Genomic DNA, 19,769 nt, shown 5'->3' with positions numbered 1-19,769 from the left:
AAACACTTCTGGATTGAAAACTGGATAAGGCTGTAGCTGAGATTGGGGAGAAAGAAGCCTTGAAATAGGGTTACAGAAGCCTTCCTCAACTGCTTTCCCTGGTGTTCTTGCATGGTCCAGAGCTACACTCAACCTCTCTAAAATGAGTGCACTTTGTCCCTTTCTTGGTATTGATGCAGTAGGAGGTTTCTTGTCTGTTCTCATCTAGAAGGACAGAACTGTGGCAAACTTCTCAGCAAGAGAGAAGAATACAGGAGTACGTGAAGTCAGCTGCTTTATGGTATAGCATTCAGATGCCTACTGAAGTTCCTTTTTAGGTATAACAGGTGACCATTCCCAACTAATCACTTTCTAATACTTGCTCACAGTTACGACTTAGGCCAAGAAGTTCAAATTTCCACTGGCCAACCCAAGGTGGCTGGTTGCTTTAACAGGAAAATAACAATATAAAAAAAGCAAGACACTAATATTCCCCTATAACTGGGCCCATACATGATAGATAGAGTTAATTCATCAGTGACTATTACCTACTGAACTTAGCTTTGGAATTTCATGATTCAGCTGCTTCTTATCTAGCTGTGTCATCTCAGGCAAGTTGCCTAATCTTTCTGATTCACATGTTCTTCATCAGTAATATGCAGAATACAGGGTGGTTATTATGATTAGAAATAATATATATAGGTGGTCTAATAGAATGTGATGCAATATGGTTGGTGTTGGCTCCAAAATTTATATGTAGAAAAGATTTATGAACAGCAATACTGTTGAAGAGGCAGTAAGGTACCTGCATTGAAGTATTTAATTATATAGCAAAGACATGCTCTGACTTGGACTGTTTATCATGGGTGGTAGTGAGGCCAATGGACATCATGGAAGACTACAAAAGACAATGCTCTGTCCCAGGCCACCATATGATAGATGTTAATGAATTACAACTATTATTGTTACCTTGAAAACTACACTATTTACAAGTACCTCACTGGGATAAGCCAAATTCATATTTTGCTATCTTGTCTATGTCCCTAATTCTTGATTGAAAAATTGTATTTATTCTCCCTTAAAGTCTATGGTCTCCAGGTCAGTTTATCTAGGGGTATTTTTTAAATTGGTGATTAAATATAATTTTATGGAATAATTAAGCCCCTAGTTTTTCACAGCCCCATCATGGCCACTAATAAACTGAAAAAAAATTATACAAAAATAGCCCCAGGATAATAACATGGAATCTACAGCATCTATTCCAAATATATAACAAAGAATGAAAGAAAACCCAGAATGATATCTTGTACAGTCTAGCAAACCTGCATAGAAATCTTCAAACTAAGAATCTGGAAAAAAAATTAAAGTGTAGGCAATCTTTTCTTATTTTAACAGAAGAAAATCCATATTTATCAGTTCAATATCCAAAATCCCTAGAAGGCTGAAAAGTACAAACTGAGCATGTGTGTCTCTCACACACCCACACATCACTGGCTGACTAATTTAGTAGTTAAGAGAGAAGAGTAAAAATGCATAGGGAAAGGAGCACATTTTAATGTCTTGGATTTTCCCCTCTTGGAAAAAACTGAAGTCATGCATTTCTCCAACGTTTCTACCTAGTAGTGAAAGTTGGAACTCCAGCGCAATGGGGATGGCCAAGGGTAAACGCCAATATATACTCAGTAATATTTGTTGTTACGGGAAAAAAGAGCGGGAGATACTTGGACCTAAAACCGAAACTCTCCCAGTACCAATCAAGATTCACAGTCCTTTTTCCTCATTAACCTCTGGAAACCACCAAATTAAGGATTCCTGCTCGCCGCTCTATTCCGTTCTTACAAACTGTGCCCTCGGGGTAGTGCAAAAAAGAACGTGCTCTAATTCCAGGGTAATTCCAAGAGATAACTCGCCTTTTGCCATCCCGGTTCTTTTACTGAAACTAAACCAAAAGCCAGCATTATTATCGACCACACCGTGTACCAGGCTCAAAATCGCCAGGAACATGGGGCCGGAAACCTTCCTCCGCCGCGCCAGAGACCACGGTGCCATAACAGACACAGTGAGCGCCCCTCATCTTTAAGAGGCAGGGAAGGAGAGTTACCCTGCACCCCCACGGGCCGCCGGTTCGGTAGGTACAGCCGGGACTACGTCTCCCAGCATGCAGCGCGGCTACGACCCGCGCCGCGGAACCACTGGAACGGTGCATGCCGGGACGAGTAGATTCAGTCTCTGAACGGCCCGGAGTAGTCTTTCCCCTCCTGAATGCCGCCACTCCGCAGTCCAGAGTATTTGAAGATCAAGCTGAAATTGAGAGACTGACGAGAGTGGTCCCTTTTTGTTCCTAACAGATTTCTTGCGACAAGGAAACCGGCAGTCTTCCGCTTCCGGTTGCTCTGTTGCCATAGTAACCGCACCCATAACAGCCGTGGTGGTTATGGCTGGCCTGAGCGGCGCGCAGATCCCCGACGGGGAGTTCACCGCGGTCGTGTACCGCCTCATCCGCAATGCACGCTACGCCGAGGCGGTGCAGCTGCTGGGCGGAGAACTGCAGCGGAGCCCTAGGAGCCGCGCCGGCCTGTCGCTGCTAGGCTACTGCTACTACCGCCTGCAGGAGTTCGCGCTGGCGGCCGAGTGCTATGAGCAGCTGGGCCAGCTGCACCCGGAACTGGAGCAGTACCGCCTGTACCAGGCCCAGGCCCTGTACAAGGCCTGCCTTTATGCGGAGGCCACCCGGGTCGCCTTCCTTCTCCTGGATAACCCCGCCTACCACAGCCGGGTCCTCCGCCTGCAAGCTGCTATCAAGTACAGCGAGGGCGATCTGCCAGGGTCCAGGAGCCTGGTAGAGCAGCTGCCGAGTAGGGAAGGGGGAGAGGAAAGTGGGGGCGAGAATGAGACCGATGGCCAGATCAACCTGGGTTGTTTGCTCTACAAGGAGGGACAGTATGAAGCTGCATGCTCCAAGTTTTTTGCCGCCCTGCAGGCCTCGGGCTACCAGCCTGACCTTTCCTACAACCTGGCTTTGGCCTATTACAGCAGCCGACAGTATGCTTCAGCACTGAAGCATATCGCTGAGATTATTGAGCGTGGCATCCGCCAGCACCCTGAGCTAGGTGTGGGCATGACCACTGAGGGCATTGATGTTCGCAGTGTTGGCAACACCTTAGTCCTCCATCAGACTGCTCTGGTGGAAGCCTTCAACCTTAAGGCAGCTATAGAATACCAACTGAGAAACTATGAGGCAGCTCAAGAAGCCCTCACTGACATGCCACCCAGGGCAGAGGAAGAGTTGGACCCTGTGACCCTACACAACCAGGCACTAATGAACATGGATGCCAGGCCTACAGAAGGGTTTGAAAAGCTACAGTTTTTGCTCCAACAGAATCCCTTTCCTCCAGAGACTTTTGGCAACCTGTTGCTGCTCTACTGTAAATATGAGTATTTTGACCTGGCAGCAGATGTCCTGGCAGAAAATGCCCATTTGATTTATAAGTTCCTCACACCCTATCTCTATGACTTCTTGGACGCTGTGATCACTTGCCAGACAGCTCCTGAAGAGGCTTTCATTAAGCTTGATGGGCTAGCAGGGATGCTGACTGAGGTCCTCCGGAAACTTACCATACAAGTACAGGAAGCAAGACACAATAGAGATGATGAAGCTATCAAAAAGGCAGTGAATGAATATGATGAAACCATGGAGAAATACATTCCTGTGTTGATGGCTCAGGCAAAAATCTACTGGAATCTTGAAAATTATCCAATGGTGGAAAAGATCTTCCGCAAATCTGTGGAATTCTGTAACGACCATGATGTGTGGAAGTTGAATGTGGCTCATGTTCTGTTCATGCAGGAAAACAAATACAAAGAAGCCATTGGTTTCTATGAACCCATAGTCAAGAAGCATTATGATAACATCCTGAATGTCAGTGCTATTGTACTGGCTAATCTCTGTGTTTCCTATATTATGACAAGTCAAAATGAAGAAGCAGAGGAGTTGATGAGGAAGATTGAAAAGGAGGAAGAGCAGCTCTCTTATGATGACCCAGATAAGAAAATGTACCATCTCTGCATTGTGAATTTGGTGATAGGAACTCTTTATTGTGCCAAAGGAAATTATGACTTTGGTATTTCTCGAGTTATCAAAAGCTTGGAACCTTACAACAAAAAGCTGGGAACAGACACCTGGTATTATGCCAAAAGATGCTTCCTGTCCTTGTTAGAAAACATGTCAAAACACACAATCATGCTTCGTGATAGTGTTATTCAAGAATGTGTCCAGTTTCTAGAACACTGTGAACTTCATGGCAGAAACATACCTGCTGTTATTGAACAACCCCTGGAAGAAGAAAGAATGCATGTTGGAAAGAATACAGTCACATATGAGTCTAGGCAGTTAAAAGCTTTGATTTATGAGATTATAGGATGGAATATATAGTAATAGCTGATAGTGGCATTTATCAAATGGCTTTGTTATGTAAATTTGCATCGCTTTATTTACCCTTTGGCATCTTTATATTTGTTACATGTTGAACTTTGTACACTTATGCATTATAAAAAAAAAAGTAGCTAAAACTTTTGCTGTTAAATTTCCCAGAAAGTGACATATTCTAAGAACTTTTACCCCAGGAGTTATGAAAAATTCCAAACTTATGAGGAATGTTTATATCAGAAGTTGTAATACGTTTGTTTCCTTTCCTCTGTTATCTTTTGTGCTTTGACGTATCTTGAGGGGTCTTTGCACAAGGATTACATCATTCAGGGACCAAGCACTATCTCAGTAATAGTTAAGAGTAGTCTTTAAATAATCATTTCAGGGATTGTGTGAGAGTAGTCTCACAATTTACACTCATTAATTTGTAATGCATACTTTTTATATAGACTTTAGGATATTTTGGCAGTGTTTATTCATATGGATATAATTCTTTACCTAACCAAAATTCCTTAGGTTATAAGTGGTTTTAACGTGCAAAAGTCAGTAAAAAATTTTGTTGCCTTAACAAAATTATGGTGCTATAATGTAGAGACAATGAACGATTATCAAAGAACAAATTTCCCTGGTTTTCTTTTGTTCCCTTTAATAATTTAAATATATGAACAAGATACACTGTTACTATTTTCCATGATAACTTTTTAAATATCTCTGTGAGAAATAACAGAGCTATCCTGAGAACTCAGGGGTTTGTTTAAGAGACACAGGTTTTGTTATGTTTGTTGCCCAGGCTAGTATCCAGCTCCTAGGCTTAAGCATACTCCCACTTCAGCTTCCCAAGTAGCTGGGACTACTGGCACAAATCACTGGGTCCAGTTCTCAGTTCTTAATTCCTACCTTTGTGTTTGCAATTTAGGATATGCTGGCTGTACAGTGTTTCCATGTTGTAGCCTCTTGAATAAGGAAAAATCTCAGCCACCAGGTCTGACCAAAAAGGTCAATTCTAAGTTGTAATGTTCATTTCATGTCCGCAACTCCCAAGAGTTATTTGGAGTTCCCACTGGGAACCACATGCATTCTGATCAGGCATTTTATTTTCTGAACCTTACAAGAGCCTTACTATTTGATTTCCCACTCCTCACTCCTCTCTTCCCACAAAAAGTAACTGTCAATCCTAACTTGACCTGGCTTAGAAAAATCAAGTGTATTAGACTGAATCATATGCAGTTGTTGATTTTGACAGTTTTTGATGTACAAAACTAGCAGTTTCTCATAGCTCAACCTAGTAGCTTTCTTCTGAATGATAGGGAACCTCTGCCATAATGAGATGATTTTTTCCTTCAAGGAAAAGGAACCACTTAGCCACATAAGTACTGATAAGAAACATGCTCAGCATAATTCCTCTGTAGCATGACCTCCTGAGTGCTCAAATTGTATTATACCAGGAAATTTGGCTTATTGTGAAGTTCAATGGTTTTGAATTTATGGCATTTTAAATCTTAATTATCTGAGCTGCTATCATTTACCACTGATGCTTTAGTCTCACATGTGGAGGACAAGCAATGTTTAGTGACCTCTTCACTGCATCCCATAGCACATTCAATGTCTGGGAAATGTTCTTTGTTTGACAACTTCTGTACTAAAAGTGTTGCTGCAGTAGCTTTGTGCCCCTGTCAGTCTTGGTAGCCCCTTAAGATTTGGAAAGTAAATGAACTGAAATCTTGTTTTCAATGGCCATATTAAAATTCTTTTTTTTTTTCCTGTTTCTTCTAAACCACACTATTTTCTTTAGGGGGAAAAAAAAGCATAAAGTGTAACTAATGTTAACCACCCAAAAACAAATGTTTTCCAGATTCCCTTTTGCAAATAGCCTGGTCTTTATTTGGCCACAATTTATTTACCCAGGTGCTATGTGTTTGTGGTTTTCATGTATGTGTAATTTAACTTTTCAGAACATAAAAAGCTTTTCAGAATGGTTTTTAACCCCTTGCTGCTGGGCATTTGGGATTTCCTGCTTAGTAATGTATAAGGAAATCCTGACTGCTCACACCACTAAGAAATAAAGGTGAACCATGCCATTTGTCCCCTTCCTTACCCTGGCTCTCAGAGAGGAACCCACCCAGATTCAGATTGCTGCTGGCAACAACAAAGTCTTATGAACCACACAGAGTCAAGAAGTCTGGTGCTGAGGCCTGGGAAGACAGGGCATTCCTAACTCCCCTGGCACTTGTTGTCCTTATTTTCAGGATATATATCTTTAAAACTCACATTCAAAGTACCCTGCTTTGCTTCTTGATTCTAAAAAGAAAATGACTTCACAATGACCCCATATTTTGCCATTTGAGTGAAAGCTTCTGTACCTAAAACTCAAATGAAAGCTTTATTCTGTGCTCCTAGAGTACATAAAGCGCTAAAAGCACTTTTCTTGACAACAATGAGTTCATTATGGAAATATAAGGAATATTTTAAGATTTCTTCATAATACCTGCATAGTCTATTTTAAAGGAATCAAATATCGAGTATTTCATCTTAAGTCAACCCCTTGGTCTCCACACAGGCACACACAAAATAGGAATGTGTGCTTATACACAAGTAGTTATATTTGTTTTCTCAGGAACAAGAACTTGATCTCTCTGTGCAGAACCAGCAAGCACAGACTCCTTTGATGGGTGGCATGACATGCCTGTCAAAGGATTTTTATTCCTCACGACAGTCCCCCTTTGAATGTGGCCTCAGCTGCAGAATGGATGTTTGCCCCAATACCATCTGTGAAGGTCAGGTGTGGTGGCTAACTCTGACCCATTCATGAGAAGCAGACAATTGGGAACTGGGATGACTGTGTGGGGATGAAGGTGGGTCATCTGGCAATGGGATAGCTGTCATCATAGGAGGGACACTCCTAACCTGAGGGGTGTATGGCCTCACAGGCTTAGAGGAGCACCTCAGATGGAATCCATACAGAATCACAGTGATAGGTTTGGCCCAAGGTCAGAATGATTTGTTTAGAGAGGGCTATGGGATAGATGCCCAAATAAATATACTTATTAGGAAATGTGAAATTAGAAAGGGTAAATGGCTTGGAGGGGAAGCTTTAGAAGTAACTTTCTGACCCCTCTGCCCTGTAATCCTCATCTGGGCTCATTTTCTCCCTGGTGTCCTGGAGGGTTAGCAGTGTTGGAAGTCTGACTACAGTTAAGCAGAGTGAGACTACCTAAACAACCTAACTTTAAAAGGATAACATCACTAAAGAAAGACTTCACAAGTGAGTATCAGGATTTTCAAATATAATTTTTATGTTTCAGGTTCCCTTTCTTCTTTTTCTTAATGACTCTGGGTGATCTGGAAAGACCTAGAGGTTGTGTTTCTGAGAGTGTTCTCTGCCACAGAGTAGTTTCCTGGTATTAGTGTGACTTGCAGCTCATTCTGCACCATTCACTAAATGCCTCTTATCCCTTGTTGACCTACCTCTGGGACTAAAGTGACATGTGGGTTTTCAGTAGTTTTCAGTTTTTGGGCTATGCCCTTTGTATTCAGTCAAACCACATTTTGTCATGAGCCAGTAACTCTTGGGTTTTGGTTGTCCAACTACATAATCACCATGACTGTAACCATCAGATTCTAAACTGATACTTTCATTCCAGTTATATATACTTTTTGAGTACCCTAATGTAGCTCAAACCCTACAGCAGCAACCTGAATCCTTAAATTAGTACTTTTAAGGAATTGTGACTTTCCTAAGGTCCTAGATTGTCTCTAGGTTATAATAAAACATTTCTTTAATCTCAAACAGTTCTTTCAATTTCCAGTCTCCCAATGGAAGATGTATAACTTATAGAAAAAGATTGTCTTATATTTTTAAGTGCAGCTCAAATAGTACTATATTAAAGTTATAAAAATGCAAATTTATTAACTCCATCAGATATTTCCTTTTATGAGTTTCACATTAAACCCACAAAATCAGTGCAGGATACTGTGGGTTAAACATTTACACAGCAAGACAATATCTGAGAAAAAACCTTTCTGGCATTCTATGGCATGTGGTCACAAAGAGAGCAGCTTCTACTCTGTAGGAGAAAGAGACTCCATCTTCTTACTTGTTGTTGGGAAAAGCTGAGTGTTGGGAGAAGCTGAGGCAGGGTTTGCATTTCTGACATAATGTAAAAAGAGTCCTGGAACATGTCCGGGGGCCAGGGTCTAAAACCCCTCGTGGCCTTTGGAACACTGAATTCTGTGCTAAAGGGTGGAAGACTACCCTGACGCACCATCATCTAAGCCCAGGGCATAAAACCCCTCGTAGATTGGAAAGAATCCAGGGCTCAGGGCATAAAATCCCTCATGGCCTCTGGAATGTGTCTAGACTTGCTGGCTCCTTGCTTCTAGCCCTCCCAGGCTCCTAGATCAATTGTGTCTTAGAATTGGCCATATAAATGTTAAACCGTCACAGCTGTAAATCATGTGCTTAATGCAACGCTCCCTTTCAACCCCACATTCTCACCATCTGTTTCTTTGTTTGATCACCAATAAACAGTCTGGGCTTCCAGAGCTCGGGGCCTTTGCAGCCGCCATACTCGCGTTGGCCCCCAGACCCACTTTATCTCTCAAACTGTCTTTTCTCATTCCTTTGATTCTACTGGACTTCATCACCCCGATGACCTGGTGTTGGGTCTGATCACCCCAACACTTGTGCCCTTCTGTAGAGGACAACAACTAATAATCTACTTTAAAAATACATTCTGTGTACATCATAGTCATCCAGCACAAGTAGCCTACAGCAGTGAAGCAGCCAGCACACAGGTACTGGAGTTAGTCACCTGGCTCCACAGCCCTGCAATGCCACTTCCCAGCTACTAATGGTGGGTGCTTCTTAACCTAACCAAACTTCAGTTTTTTTCACCAGTAAAAAGGGGATGATACCACTTACTTCACAGGGTTGTTGTGATAACAATGCTACCTTCTTGCCTGTCTGGCAAAAAAGGATGAATTAAAAAATTAATTATATAATAATCAATTCTAGGGTAGTGTTCAGCAAAAAAACACAGACTCATTAGAATCACTGAGACAGAGTTGAAAGGGACCTCAGAGTTTTTCACTATATAAAAGAAGAAATGAATAGGGAAAGTGACTTGAAGTTCATTGAGAAAAATGAATCACACCCAAAATGTCCAAAATAGAACCTTATCCACTGCTTCTTGTATTTAGAATCCTATCTTCTAAGTTACTTTACAGTGGTAAAATTCTGCCATTTTCAAAGAAGAGCAGCTTCATCTATCTAATGTTAGCACAATGAGGTACAAAGGACATGGCAAAACTATGCAAGGGTGGATTTCAGAGCTTGTCCATCAGGCAATACCAGGCCCAATCAACAGACCACATCAGAAAATGCAGTAGAAAATGGATTTGAGTCTTTCAAAAAGAGAGACACGCCCCTGAGGCCAAACATAGGCAAAAGGAAATGTGATGGCCGGAAAGTTTCATTTCTTTTTCTTATAGGGTAGCACAGGAAACTGTAGTAGTAGCTTTATCAGGATTTCACTGTGGCAGCAGAAAATGTTAAGTAAACATGATTACTTGTTTATCTGACATAAATGCTGATTAACTGAATAAAAAGCGTATTTGTGGCCAAAATGTAAAAATATAAGTTGGACAACTGTATGTCAAGTGAAAGTGTAGATGTCTGAATCCTGAATGTTCTTTCATGGATGAAATGTCAGAATCATGGGTCAGGTAGGCCCTTGTAATGTACCAATTATCTGTCATTACTTGGATGAAAATCCAGACAGTATTTGTCTCAATTTTACTGATGACCTGAAGCTTGACGGCACAGAAAATATTCTGGGCAAGAATCTAGATCCTAACATTTTGAAAATATGGAACTAACTCCAGTAAGATACAAATTTTAGTAAAGCTAAATATAAGTAATGGGGCTTTAAAAAAATTAGCCTCCAAGGAGATGCGGCCAAAATGTCACATGGAAAAGACAATCTTTGGTAAATGGCATATATTCAGTATGAGTTGACAGAGCAATGCCCACCAAAAATGCTTTTTTATTAGTGACTACACTAGAGGAAGCATTGGTACTACTCTGGAAGATTTGTTTTCAGGCCTAGACACCTCACTGTAAAAATGTAAAATGGGCACATGTGAGGAAGATTAGGAAGGTGAAAGTCTAGAAATGACAGGAGCAAAAGTTGATAGGAGAAGGTGTTGAGGAACATGAGACCTGACTTTAAATACCTCAAGAGCAGCCCTTCAACAGAGCAATTGGACAATTCTTTATGACTAAAGGTGGCAGAAGTTGTATAAGGGATAGAAGAGGAACACAGATTTCAGTCTAATAATAATTTAAAAACCTCCTAATACTTGAAGATTACAGAAGTTGGAAAAGGCTTCCTGGAAAGGCAATGAATATGCATTTGTTCACAGCAAATGTTCAGGAAGACTAGTTATCTGCTTGTAGCCTGGGGAATGTTAGGTAGCAATTATGTTCAGATGGGATGAAATAGAAATAAGATGGGATGATTTCTAGGGTTAATTCAATCTGAACTTACATAAGCCAGGTAGAAAATTGCTTTTCTTAACTATATAATACAAGAGCTAAAATCTTAGTGTGGCTAGTGATTACTGAAATGTATCATGTAAGACAGAGTTCAACAGGTCTGACCTTCAGTCATTTCAGAGCCCAGACAGCTACAACCTTCCTTTCAGTGTGGGAGCCACAGGCAGGGATGTTATAAAATCAGTATCTGCATTAAAATCTGCATATATCTGCATATAAAATCACCATTATAAAATCAGTATCTGCACATGCCCTTCACTACCGGAGAGGGTACTCATGGGCACAAAGTGTATCCTGTTTGTTTTGGCCGAGTATAGCATGCTGTCAATAAAGGTTAAATAGAACCAATATGAAATAAACAACAATTTCTATAACAATGGGTGGTTGTGGTATTGATTTATTTTTCCCCAGCACATCTTAAAAATCACACATGGGCATTTGCTTATAGAACAATACAGTCTAAGAAAACCAGTAAGAGGAGAATCTGAACACACACTGAAAGCACGGAATACTGACTATGTGTTGAGCCCTTGTGGAAAACAGTATGGCTCAGTCGGAATTGACAAAGCTATGCTGGAATCTCTCAGGAATTTTCCTTCCCACTGCATATCCCCTTTTAGACTATAAATGTAAAGAGAAGAATTGTTTGTATGCATTAGTTACAGCAGTATAATGGCTTACATACAAGTGCTTACTCACATGTAGTTCCCAAAGGATTACTACAGTCCTGGCAGGAATATGTACTGCCTTGGAGGAAGACTCAGGATAAGATATTATTCAAGTTAAGTTGTATCAGAGCCAAAGTATTTCACAGGCTTAGCAAAAATGGACAAGAATTAATATAACCTACATATATTTCTCATAAGATTTAATCATTGTCCAGAACAGAAATATTCGTTATTCTGAAGGCACCATCACACGAAAAAGGACTGACACACAATATTAGGAATAGAAACCACCCGCACTCCCCAGCTCCACAGGTTCTGCTCCTCAGGGAGCCTGTGAGCAAACATCCAGAAAGAATGTAGTGAGTGTCTTGAGGCTCAATGCCAAACCCACCAAGCCACAACTTAGGGCTACTAGGTTGGGGCAGTAGGAATGAAAATGTAGGAAGGAAAAGCACATACAAATCCCATTGACTGATTCGATGTGTATCAGAGTACAGGTCCACCATACAATTAGTTAAATATACTAGAACAGATTATCCAAAACAACACTGTGGAAAGAATTACCAGTGTTTCCACATATAACTGCTTAATTCCTGACATGTTCTTGAAGAGGAATAGTCTTGAACTGCTGAATGACCTCTGTCTAAAGACTTACCCTCTCCCACTCATTTAAAATAATGGCTAGTTCATGGAAAAAAAAAATCCCAACAAGGCACTGTGAGCTTTTGGGGATATAGTATAAGTAGCTCAAAAAATAACTACTTATAGAAACTTGTATGCCAGTATGAGCATTTCATGTCCTTTTCTGATATGTGAACAAGATTAAAGGAAAAACATGTTTCCTAGGGTGCATATGGTGTTCAGGAAAAACACTGCCAACAAAAGGTTGTCTTAAAAACATGTATATATGTTGCTTAGAAATCCACCATGAAACAGATTTTTTTCCTTTTCTTTCTCACTCAGATTTGGAATTCAGAGTCTCTGCAAGATGTTTTTCCTTGTGGAAAAATAAATAATCTCCTTTGGAAACCAAAAAAGAAATCTTTTCATGTTCACAGAACTAAAGTTACTAAATTCTGTGATGGTTCTTTGGCTTGAGGGTTCTATATGTCAGTGGTCCTTACTCTGATTTGTTAAGGAATTAATTATGATTAGAAGAGCACAAGAGTGCTCACTCTTTGAGGATCTTCCAAGGTTCAAAAGGGAGTGCTTCAGGTTCATAGGAGTCTCAAAGCCTCCTGGGAATACAGCATTGATTTTAAAAAATGATTAGGGATTGACAAAACCTAGCTAACAATATCCTCAGCTATAAATCCAAAGAGATTTAGTCACAAGTAGGTTGCACTTGATTTTGCACTTGATTATGCTACAAGCAACAAAATTATAAAAATAAATTTTGTGTTTTCAAATCAGTGGAAATATGAACATGAAAAACTAAAACTAAAAGAAAAACTCATATGCAAATAAAAGAATAAACAGCTTCACACTCCCTTTGAAGAAAAAAAATATTAGACCCAGGTCCATTTTATTAATAATATGATCTATAATCTCTTGACATTACAAGTAGTTTTTACAGTTAAATTTCACACTGAAGACAAACACTGTTTGGCTTAGGGAGCAGAAAGCTGAGTAACTTACATCCTTTATATCAGACACTATATTTTAACAGTTTAAGAAAACCTTTTACACTTTCTGGATTTAAGCATCAATATGTAAGTTGTTTCCTTTACAGGAAACTGAAATTAGTAAGAATTAAGTGAATATACTGACAGATGGCTCATTTGGGAACATGAAGCCTAGAGCAAAGCCAAGCTTCTATAACTCATAAAGTCAAAGGTAAAACATTCTGGATTCTTCAAACCTAAATGGGCACTTGTTATTTTCCACTTTTCTTCAACCATGAGCTAAGCCCTAACTAAAATCAAAGTTGATAAAGATTAAGTGGTAAACAAAAAAATTATTAAAGCTGTCCTTAACTCCTGTCTGAGTGTTTTTTAAGATATAGATATGCTTTCCACAGCATTCCATTTTGGCTGCCTCAAGCACCAGCACATGCAGTTTGTGAATCAATCTGTAGTAACTGTGTTCTAGCATTTATACAGAATGGAAGTTCAACCAAACCCAGCCCCATATGAACAGCCAAGGGAACACACTTCAGTGTAGGACTACAGAGCTTCTCTGATAAGCTACAGTTAAGTTGTAGCTATAAAGGAATATGACAAAGGAAAGTCTGGGTGCTAACATGCAGAAAGGCATTTTCAAAAATGCAAGCTAGGACTTAGCAGTTACTAATAGACTATTCTAGTGGGGGAAAAGGTTTCCTTGCAACCATCTGTATCTGGTATACCATACACACCGATGGAAGCTCATCCTTTATTGCAATTTTGTTTTCAAAATACATCAACACAGGCAAACTAGAAGGCTCCCAACTTCATAAATAACTTTTAAGTAATAGTACTACAATATGTAAGCACTTTTAGGAAGAAAACTCCTACTTCCTTAGAAGAAATAATATAATCCTCTTTTCTTTGTGTAAAATGATGGGCACAATAAACATGTGGTTTCCACAATTCTTACTAAGCTAAAAACAGCTCAAAGTTACTTATCATAAGACTAAATTCACTTATGCACTACTAGAAATTGCACCAAACATTAAGGCAACAGTTTCTCTAAGGGTCTATAAAGCCTGTTCATATTGAGTCTTTAGTATTCAATGCCATTTCTCACTAGCGGCAAGTTACTATTCCCACTGAAACCCCAACCCAAATGTGACATTACCAAATTTAAGTAAATTATTGCAACTATGACTAATTTAAGAAAGTCAGTGTTATGCAGTACTGAAAACCAAATAGGCAACAAGTTTTTGAAATTAAAAATAAACATTAAAAATGAGTTAAGAAGTGTCATGTAAACAGTGTTCTCCTGACTTAACTTTTATGAAGCCATTTTCAGATATTATAGAAATAAGAGGCATGGTTTAAGTGCTTCTGTGCATATTCATGAACTCAGTCCTTCACAGATACCAAGTCTATACTGAGGCACCTCCCAGAAGGTATGTGAAAGTGGGGGCTGGGGGTAGGGGGAGGCTTTCTGATTTACTAAATCAGAGTGAAACAGTACTGATCAATATTCTTGTGTTTCAAAATGATTTCGGTAGAAATGATTCCACCTACAAAATGCAGTCACCATTATAAAATCAAGGTTGGGGAGTCCTGCATATACTTGGAAAAAGAAAAACAAAGACATAAATCATGAATTTCCATAAGGTTCATGTAGAATAGTGAACATAATAATTTCAGGTGTTACATTTACAGTTTCCTAATATCAAGTATGGATTTCTGAGGTTGCTGAAATTGAACTCCCTGGGAAAGAATGTTATAACAATCACATGCAAAGGAATGGATCTTCTTATTAACCTGTTTTATTTTTTAAAAATTACTCAGAAACATATACATATATATATATATATATATACACACACACACATGCATACATATATATATATATATATATATACTTCCAGTGAGACATTAGTACCTTAATTTTATATTTTGATCACCAATTAAAGAAATTACCTTCGTGAACAGATGCATTTTATAAAGCTGAGATTTTTATAATTCTAGAGGCAACTTCCTCATCAAGTGTCCAACTAGGTCAAATATCAAGGGCTTAAAGCAAAGATCTGTTGGAAATTTTATAATTAAAAATAAATGACCAATGAAGAGAGGCAGCTTCTAAAAAATAAATATTTCATTTTGTTGTTAAACTGATATTTAATTCTAATTTAATTACAGATTTATTAGTTTGAGGCCAATTTTAATAGTTAAAAATTATTTATCATTTTGAAGTCTTAAAAATATCATTTTGTCAATTTTAAATTACCATTTTTCTGGTTAAGGCTACTTCAGATATAAAAGGTATCAAACTGCCCAAAAATACTTTGGAGCTGTTGCTACATACACAGACAATGCATCCTTTTAAAGGATCGTCTGCATTTTGACTTACATTATCTGATCAAATATTAGTTTTAAAAAATTATCAAAAGTTAGGTATTGCATTAAGAAAAGAATCCATCTCAAAATGTGAATCATGAACCTTGGCAGACAGTGATTCAAAGTAATCATTTCACTTTAATATCCAGGTTTGAATGTACAAATGCTTGCTAAATGTGATTAATGTTCTCATTATTTAAGAAACAGGATATTTCAAACTTTTGATTATGGTATATGCATTAATACATTACATTTAAAAAAAATTAGGTTAAACCAGTTATTCAAAAAAGGCATTAAACCATTATTAAAAACTAAATTGAAACTTTACTTTTTATATGAAAATTTATCATGCCATTGGGATTAATTTTAAAAAATCAAAAATGATTTTTGTCATTGAAACTGCTGAGGCTTTCAAATTCAGTAGTTGAATGATGACTGTTTCTTTAGTGAAACAATTCTTGCAATTGGAGACATTAAGTCTAAGAGTTTTCCTTCTGCTCTTGCTGTAGCTGTTTCTTCTGCATTTCAGCAACAAGAATGTGAAATCAGAAACATTAGGACTCTAAGTTGAATAAAGGCATTCATTTCATGGTAAACCTGTTCTTCACTTGCAATGAAGGATGTCAGCTTTTCTTACAAAACATATTATCAATGAATTAGAATATAACAATAGGTTATCTCAGTGATACAAATACAACTCATACCACAATAGAAACAGAAACATGGAGAACAAAAACATGTCCCCTAACAGAATAATTTGTATATTGATGATACAAGGTTTTATGCATGTATACTAATTTAAAAAAAAAAGTAGGCCAAGCACCTTACAGACGTGAAGGCTTTCTAAATAACAGGTTGCCTAAATTCTTTCATGAATATCCTTCCCCTTAATGGCCTACTCACACTAGACTATGCTCTTAAACAATGTACACGTGTATCACTCCTCAGTGGAATCCTTCCCTAGACATCTGATTCCCAGAAACGTTCTTTTAAAAAGAGGCTAGCTGAGCAATCAATGATACCAAATCTGTCTTTGTTCCCCAAGAGGAAGCAACAATACAAAACAGCTGGCAGCAGCTTCCTCTGGAATAATTGACAGCTTTGTGCTGCCTGACTAAAATTTGAAATGACAACCGCTGAATGTAAAATGATGTACCTACAATGAGAGAGATTTAGGAATACTATCTGTCAATCCATAGATGTAGAAACAAAACAAACTACAGAATGAAAACAAACTTATTTTAAACCAAAGAAACAAATGTATCCAAAATATAGTCCATGATATATTTGATTACTAGTATAACCACAGTTGAAAACTTAAAAAAAAAATTGACATTTTTTTGTAATGGTACTAATGGATTTATAAAAGGTTTCTGTTTCCAAAGATGTTATTGGGGTCCACATATTCCTTGACAGACTTCAGCATCCCAAAGCCGACATCAGAGATACTTTCCTTTAGCCATTGCTTCCGTAACTTGCCCACTGGAAAAACAAAATCAAAAATGCTTCAATATATGCTATGATACTGGGAACCAATCAATCTTGTGACCATGAGTGAACAAACACTGTGTGATAAATGCTTTTATTCAAAAATGAGAAATGTTTTGCTTTATTTGATTTATTGAGCCCACCAGACTATCAAGCTCATTAAGCCCAATGTATTCCCAGGGGAAGTCTGTGCTCCACAGTGTCTCCTTTCTCTGTAAACTATGAAATGGAGATTGAAGGAAGCTTGGACAGAGATTATAGCCCATTTTACAAATAACAAAATGAGAAAAACGTGCATTTCGAAAGAACCCACCTCTGCCTTAACTACCAAAACACACCCAAGTTTTAGAGAAAATGAAGTTAACTAAAGAAAAACATCACATTGAGACGAATTTGTTGGGTAAATTCAGCAAAAATGACAGGATATATATCCTTAAAATATTTTAACGAACATAAAGGCTTCAAATAATAAGAAAATTTGAAACTTTAATAGGCTCAAGAAAAAATTCTGGCTATTAAGCTTCTATTTACATTTTCTTTTCACAGTACTTTTAAATAAATTTGCATGTTCCCAAATAATGGTTACTTTCTTCCTACTGTTTTTCCAGATTTAGAATTTTTTTCCTAAGGCATTAAATAAATCAAATACCTAATCCATCGTAAACTTAATCTTTTGCTTTTACATACTGTACAAAGTTCCCTTTTTTTGTTTCTAGGTCTTGCTAATTTGTTCTGAGAATAGTGAAGTAACATAATGGTTAGCAGCATAAATTATATTTCAAAAGGTACTCAATGAAAAACATAACCTTTTGTAAGTAGAACTTTTGTAAGAAAGAATATGTACTTAATCTGTAAAAGAATTCTGAAATGTCAGTTTGCTCTGGTATTAAAAAGCAAGCAATATGCTAACTTATCTGTGGCAAAATGGATAAATCTTTTAATTTACAGTTAGGATTATTTGTACTTGTACTTCTCCAAAAAACCTATTATCATACTAATTGAATTCAAACGGTCATTTTCTACAAATGTTCATTAATGATCCAAAGTCATCAACAGTGATTTAATTGACCAACTGAAATGGGAAACCTTCTTTCATTAAAGTATTCAGCCTGTCATTCTATAATGCATTCCCATTTATTAGGCTATAGTGATACATCATAGCATCTGCCTTTTGGAAACCTTAAATACCATTTCGAGCTCAACTAAAACCATCTTTTGTGTCCAGTTCTCTAAGAAACCATCAAATTGTCATCAAAATAATAAATACTGTGATAATCTCAGAAAGCAAATTATCTGCTTGGCTTTCAGAAATAAAAAGGTATTGCTGGTATTAAGACGGGGGGAAATGAAGTTCAGCAGAAAAAAAACCTTAAATTCAAAATGAAAAATTTTGTTTGAGATAGCTCTAAAACCAGAAGCTAAGAGTAAATAAATCCCTATTCCTGCAATCTCTACCACCTAAAAGATATTCTACCAGGACCTTCTATTATCTCCTAAGGGACTGCCCATGACTATGATTCAGCCTGTTTTTTCACTTGCAAATGGATTAGACTTTATAAGGTCTCTTCAACTCTAATATTCTATGATTTTAAGCACTTTTTAAAAAAGTTAAAAATCAGTTTTTTCCAGATTTGCTCCACAGGATTTTTTTTTTTTTAAACAACTACTCTGTGAATGGTAAAAGGGGCTTTACCATACTACTATAAGCTGCCCACACTGAGGCAGCTGAAGAGAGAGAGGGGTGACGAGCAGTGAATACCAGTCTCCACTGTTATCTGTAATACAGTTTCACTGAATGTATCCTGTGGTTATGGATGTAATTGTCCTGAAAAGACTGCAAACAACTGCTCCAACAAGATGGAGCACATTAGAACCTCAGCAGGATGCCCAACAGCTAGCTTGTCTGCCTGGTTTTACACCTCTAGTAATAATGCAATTCCACAAGGAACTGAACCATCGTCTGAGAAGCCACCCAACAGCCATTGCATATTTAATGAAGTCACTCACCAAGCGCTGGAAAACAGAAGGTGCTTGGAGTGCATCATTACTTCTGTCAGAAGGATAATTTACACATCTATCTTGTCAAATTTTCTATGGTTTATACTTTTACAATAATCAATCTAATATACATTTGATTAGTGAAGTAGAAAGTAGAAAAAAAAAAAGGGCAGTACGGCCAACAAAGCTGTGGCCCCTCATAAACACATTTGATAAAAGCATTTAACCCCTTCGTGGCAGAGGTCTGGCACTTCTTCTGCCACTGATAACAGAATTTGAAATGGGGTCAGAAATCTTGGTTTATGCAATTAAAGGTACTAGAAATCTTTGGCTTTGTTTAACAATTTAAGTCAACTACTTCACAGGATACATATACAGGTAGAAAACACATTCAAACAAAAACGTTCAATATGCCTTAACAACAAGACAATTATTGGAGTCTTCTTGAGATTCTGGAGAACCTTATGTAGTTACCCCACATGGATCAATAAAACAACAAACACCACAGGCCTTAATCTTGGAGAAGAAACACACTTCAAAGTACAAGATTTTTATTCCAGAGCTAAACACCACCACTAATAATGCCCTTTGTACAATTCTTAGTTGTACTGCTGGGCATTCAGAAATTAGCTGACCATACTGATCTGTACCCATGTTAACAC

At 38.1% G+C, this 19,769-nt stretch overlaps 2 protein-coding genes across 4 annotated transcripts in view, besides 3 other annotated features; one reads left to right on the top strand and one right to left on the bottom strand.

Moving 5' to 3' along the window:
* Positions 1,773–2,576: an enhancer, noted in NCBI's record as "H3K27ac-H3K4me1 hESC enhancer chr2:178417329-178418132 (GRCh37/hg19 assembly coordinates)". NCBI's record gives its function as "activates a minimal SCP1, AML or CMV promoter by ChIP-STARR-seq in primed H9 embryonic stem cells {active_cell/tissue: H9 hESC(primed)}" and the evidence as "EXISTENCE:reporter gene assay evidence [ECO:0000049][PMID:30033119]".
* Positions 2,115–2,404: an enhancer, noted in NCBI's record as "active region_16797". NCBI's record gives its function as "activates an Ori minimal core promoter by ATAC-STARR-seq in GM12878 lymphoblastoid cells {active_cell/tissue: GM12878}" and the evidence as "EXISTENCE:reporter gene assay evidence [ECO:0000049][PMID:35858748]".
* IFT70B (intraflagellar transport 70B) lies at positions 2,381–6,179 on the top strand. The gene has a single exon (NM_152517.3). It carries the CDS (start codon positions 2,414–2,416, stop codon positions 4,409–4,411), a length of 1,998 nt encoding a protein of 665 aa, NP_689730.2. The 5' UTR covers positions 2,381–2,413; the 3' UTR covers positions 4,412–6,179.
* Positions 2,577–3,381: an enhancer, noted in NCBI's record as "H3K27ac-H3K4me1 hESC enhancer chr2:178416524-178417328 (GRCh37/hg19 assembly coordinates)". NCBI's record gives its function as "activates a minimal SCP1, AML or CMV promoter by ChIP-STARR-seq in naive H9 embryonic stem cells {active_cell/tissue: H9 hESC(naive)}" and the evidence as "EXISTENCE:reporter gene assay evidence [ECO:0000049][PMID:30033119]".
* Positions 11,343–19,769, bottom strand: part of AGPS (alkylglycerone phosphate synthase) — a 151,062-nt gene continuing 142,635 nt past the window's right edge. For all 3 annotated transcript variants that reach the window (NM_003659.4, XM_011512041.3, XM_047446104.1), the window contains exon 20: positions 11,343–17,103. In NM_003659.4, coding sequence (NP_003650.1) covers positions 16,982–17,103 — 122 coding nt within the window. In that variant the 3' untranslated portion in view covers positions 11,343–16,981. The remainder of the gene's footprint in view (positions 17,104–19,769) is intronic.

Source organism: Homo sapiens, chromosome 2 (genome assembly GCF_000001405.40).
Source record: "Homo sapiens chromosome 2, GRCh38.p14 Primary Assembly".
Taxonomy (NCBI): Eukaryota; Metazoa; Chordata; class Mammalia; order Primates; family Hominidae; genus Homo; species Homo sapiens.
The sequence above is the reverse complement of the archived record's forward strand: the minus strand, read 5'-3'. Positions and strand labels throughout refer to the sequence as shown.

What these genes read in the sequence shown, in the direction of transcription:
- IFT70B (NM_152517.3), top strand. Translation starts at nt 2,414, where the DNA reads ATGGCTGGCCTGAGCGGCGCGCAGATCCCCGACGGGGAGTTCACCGCG.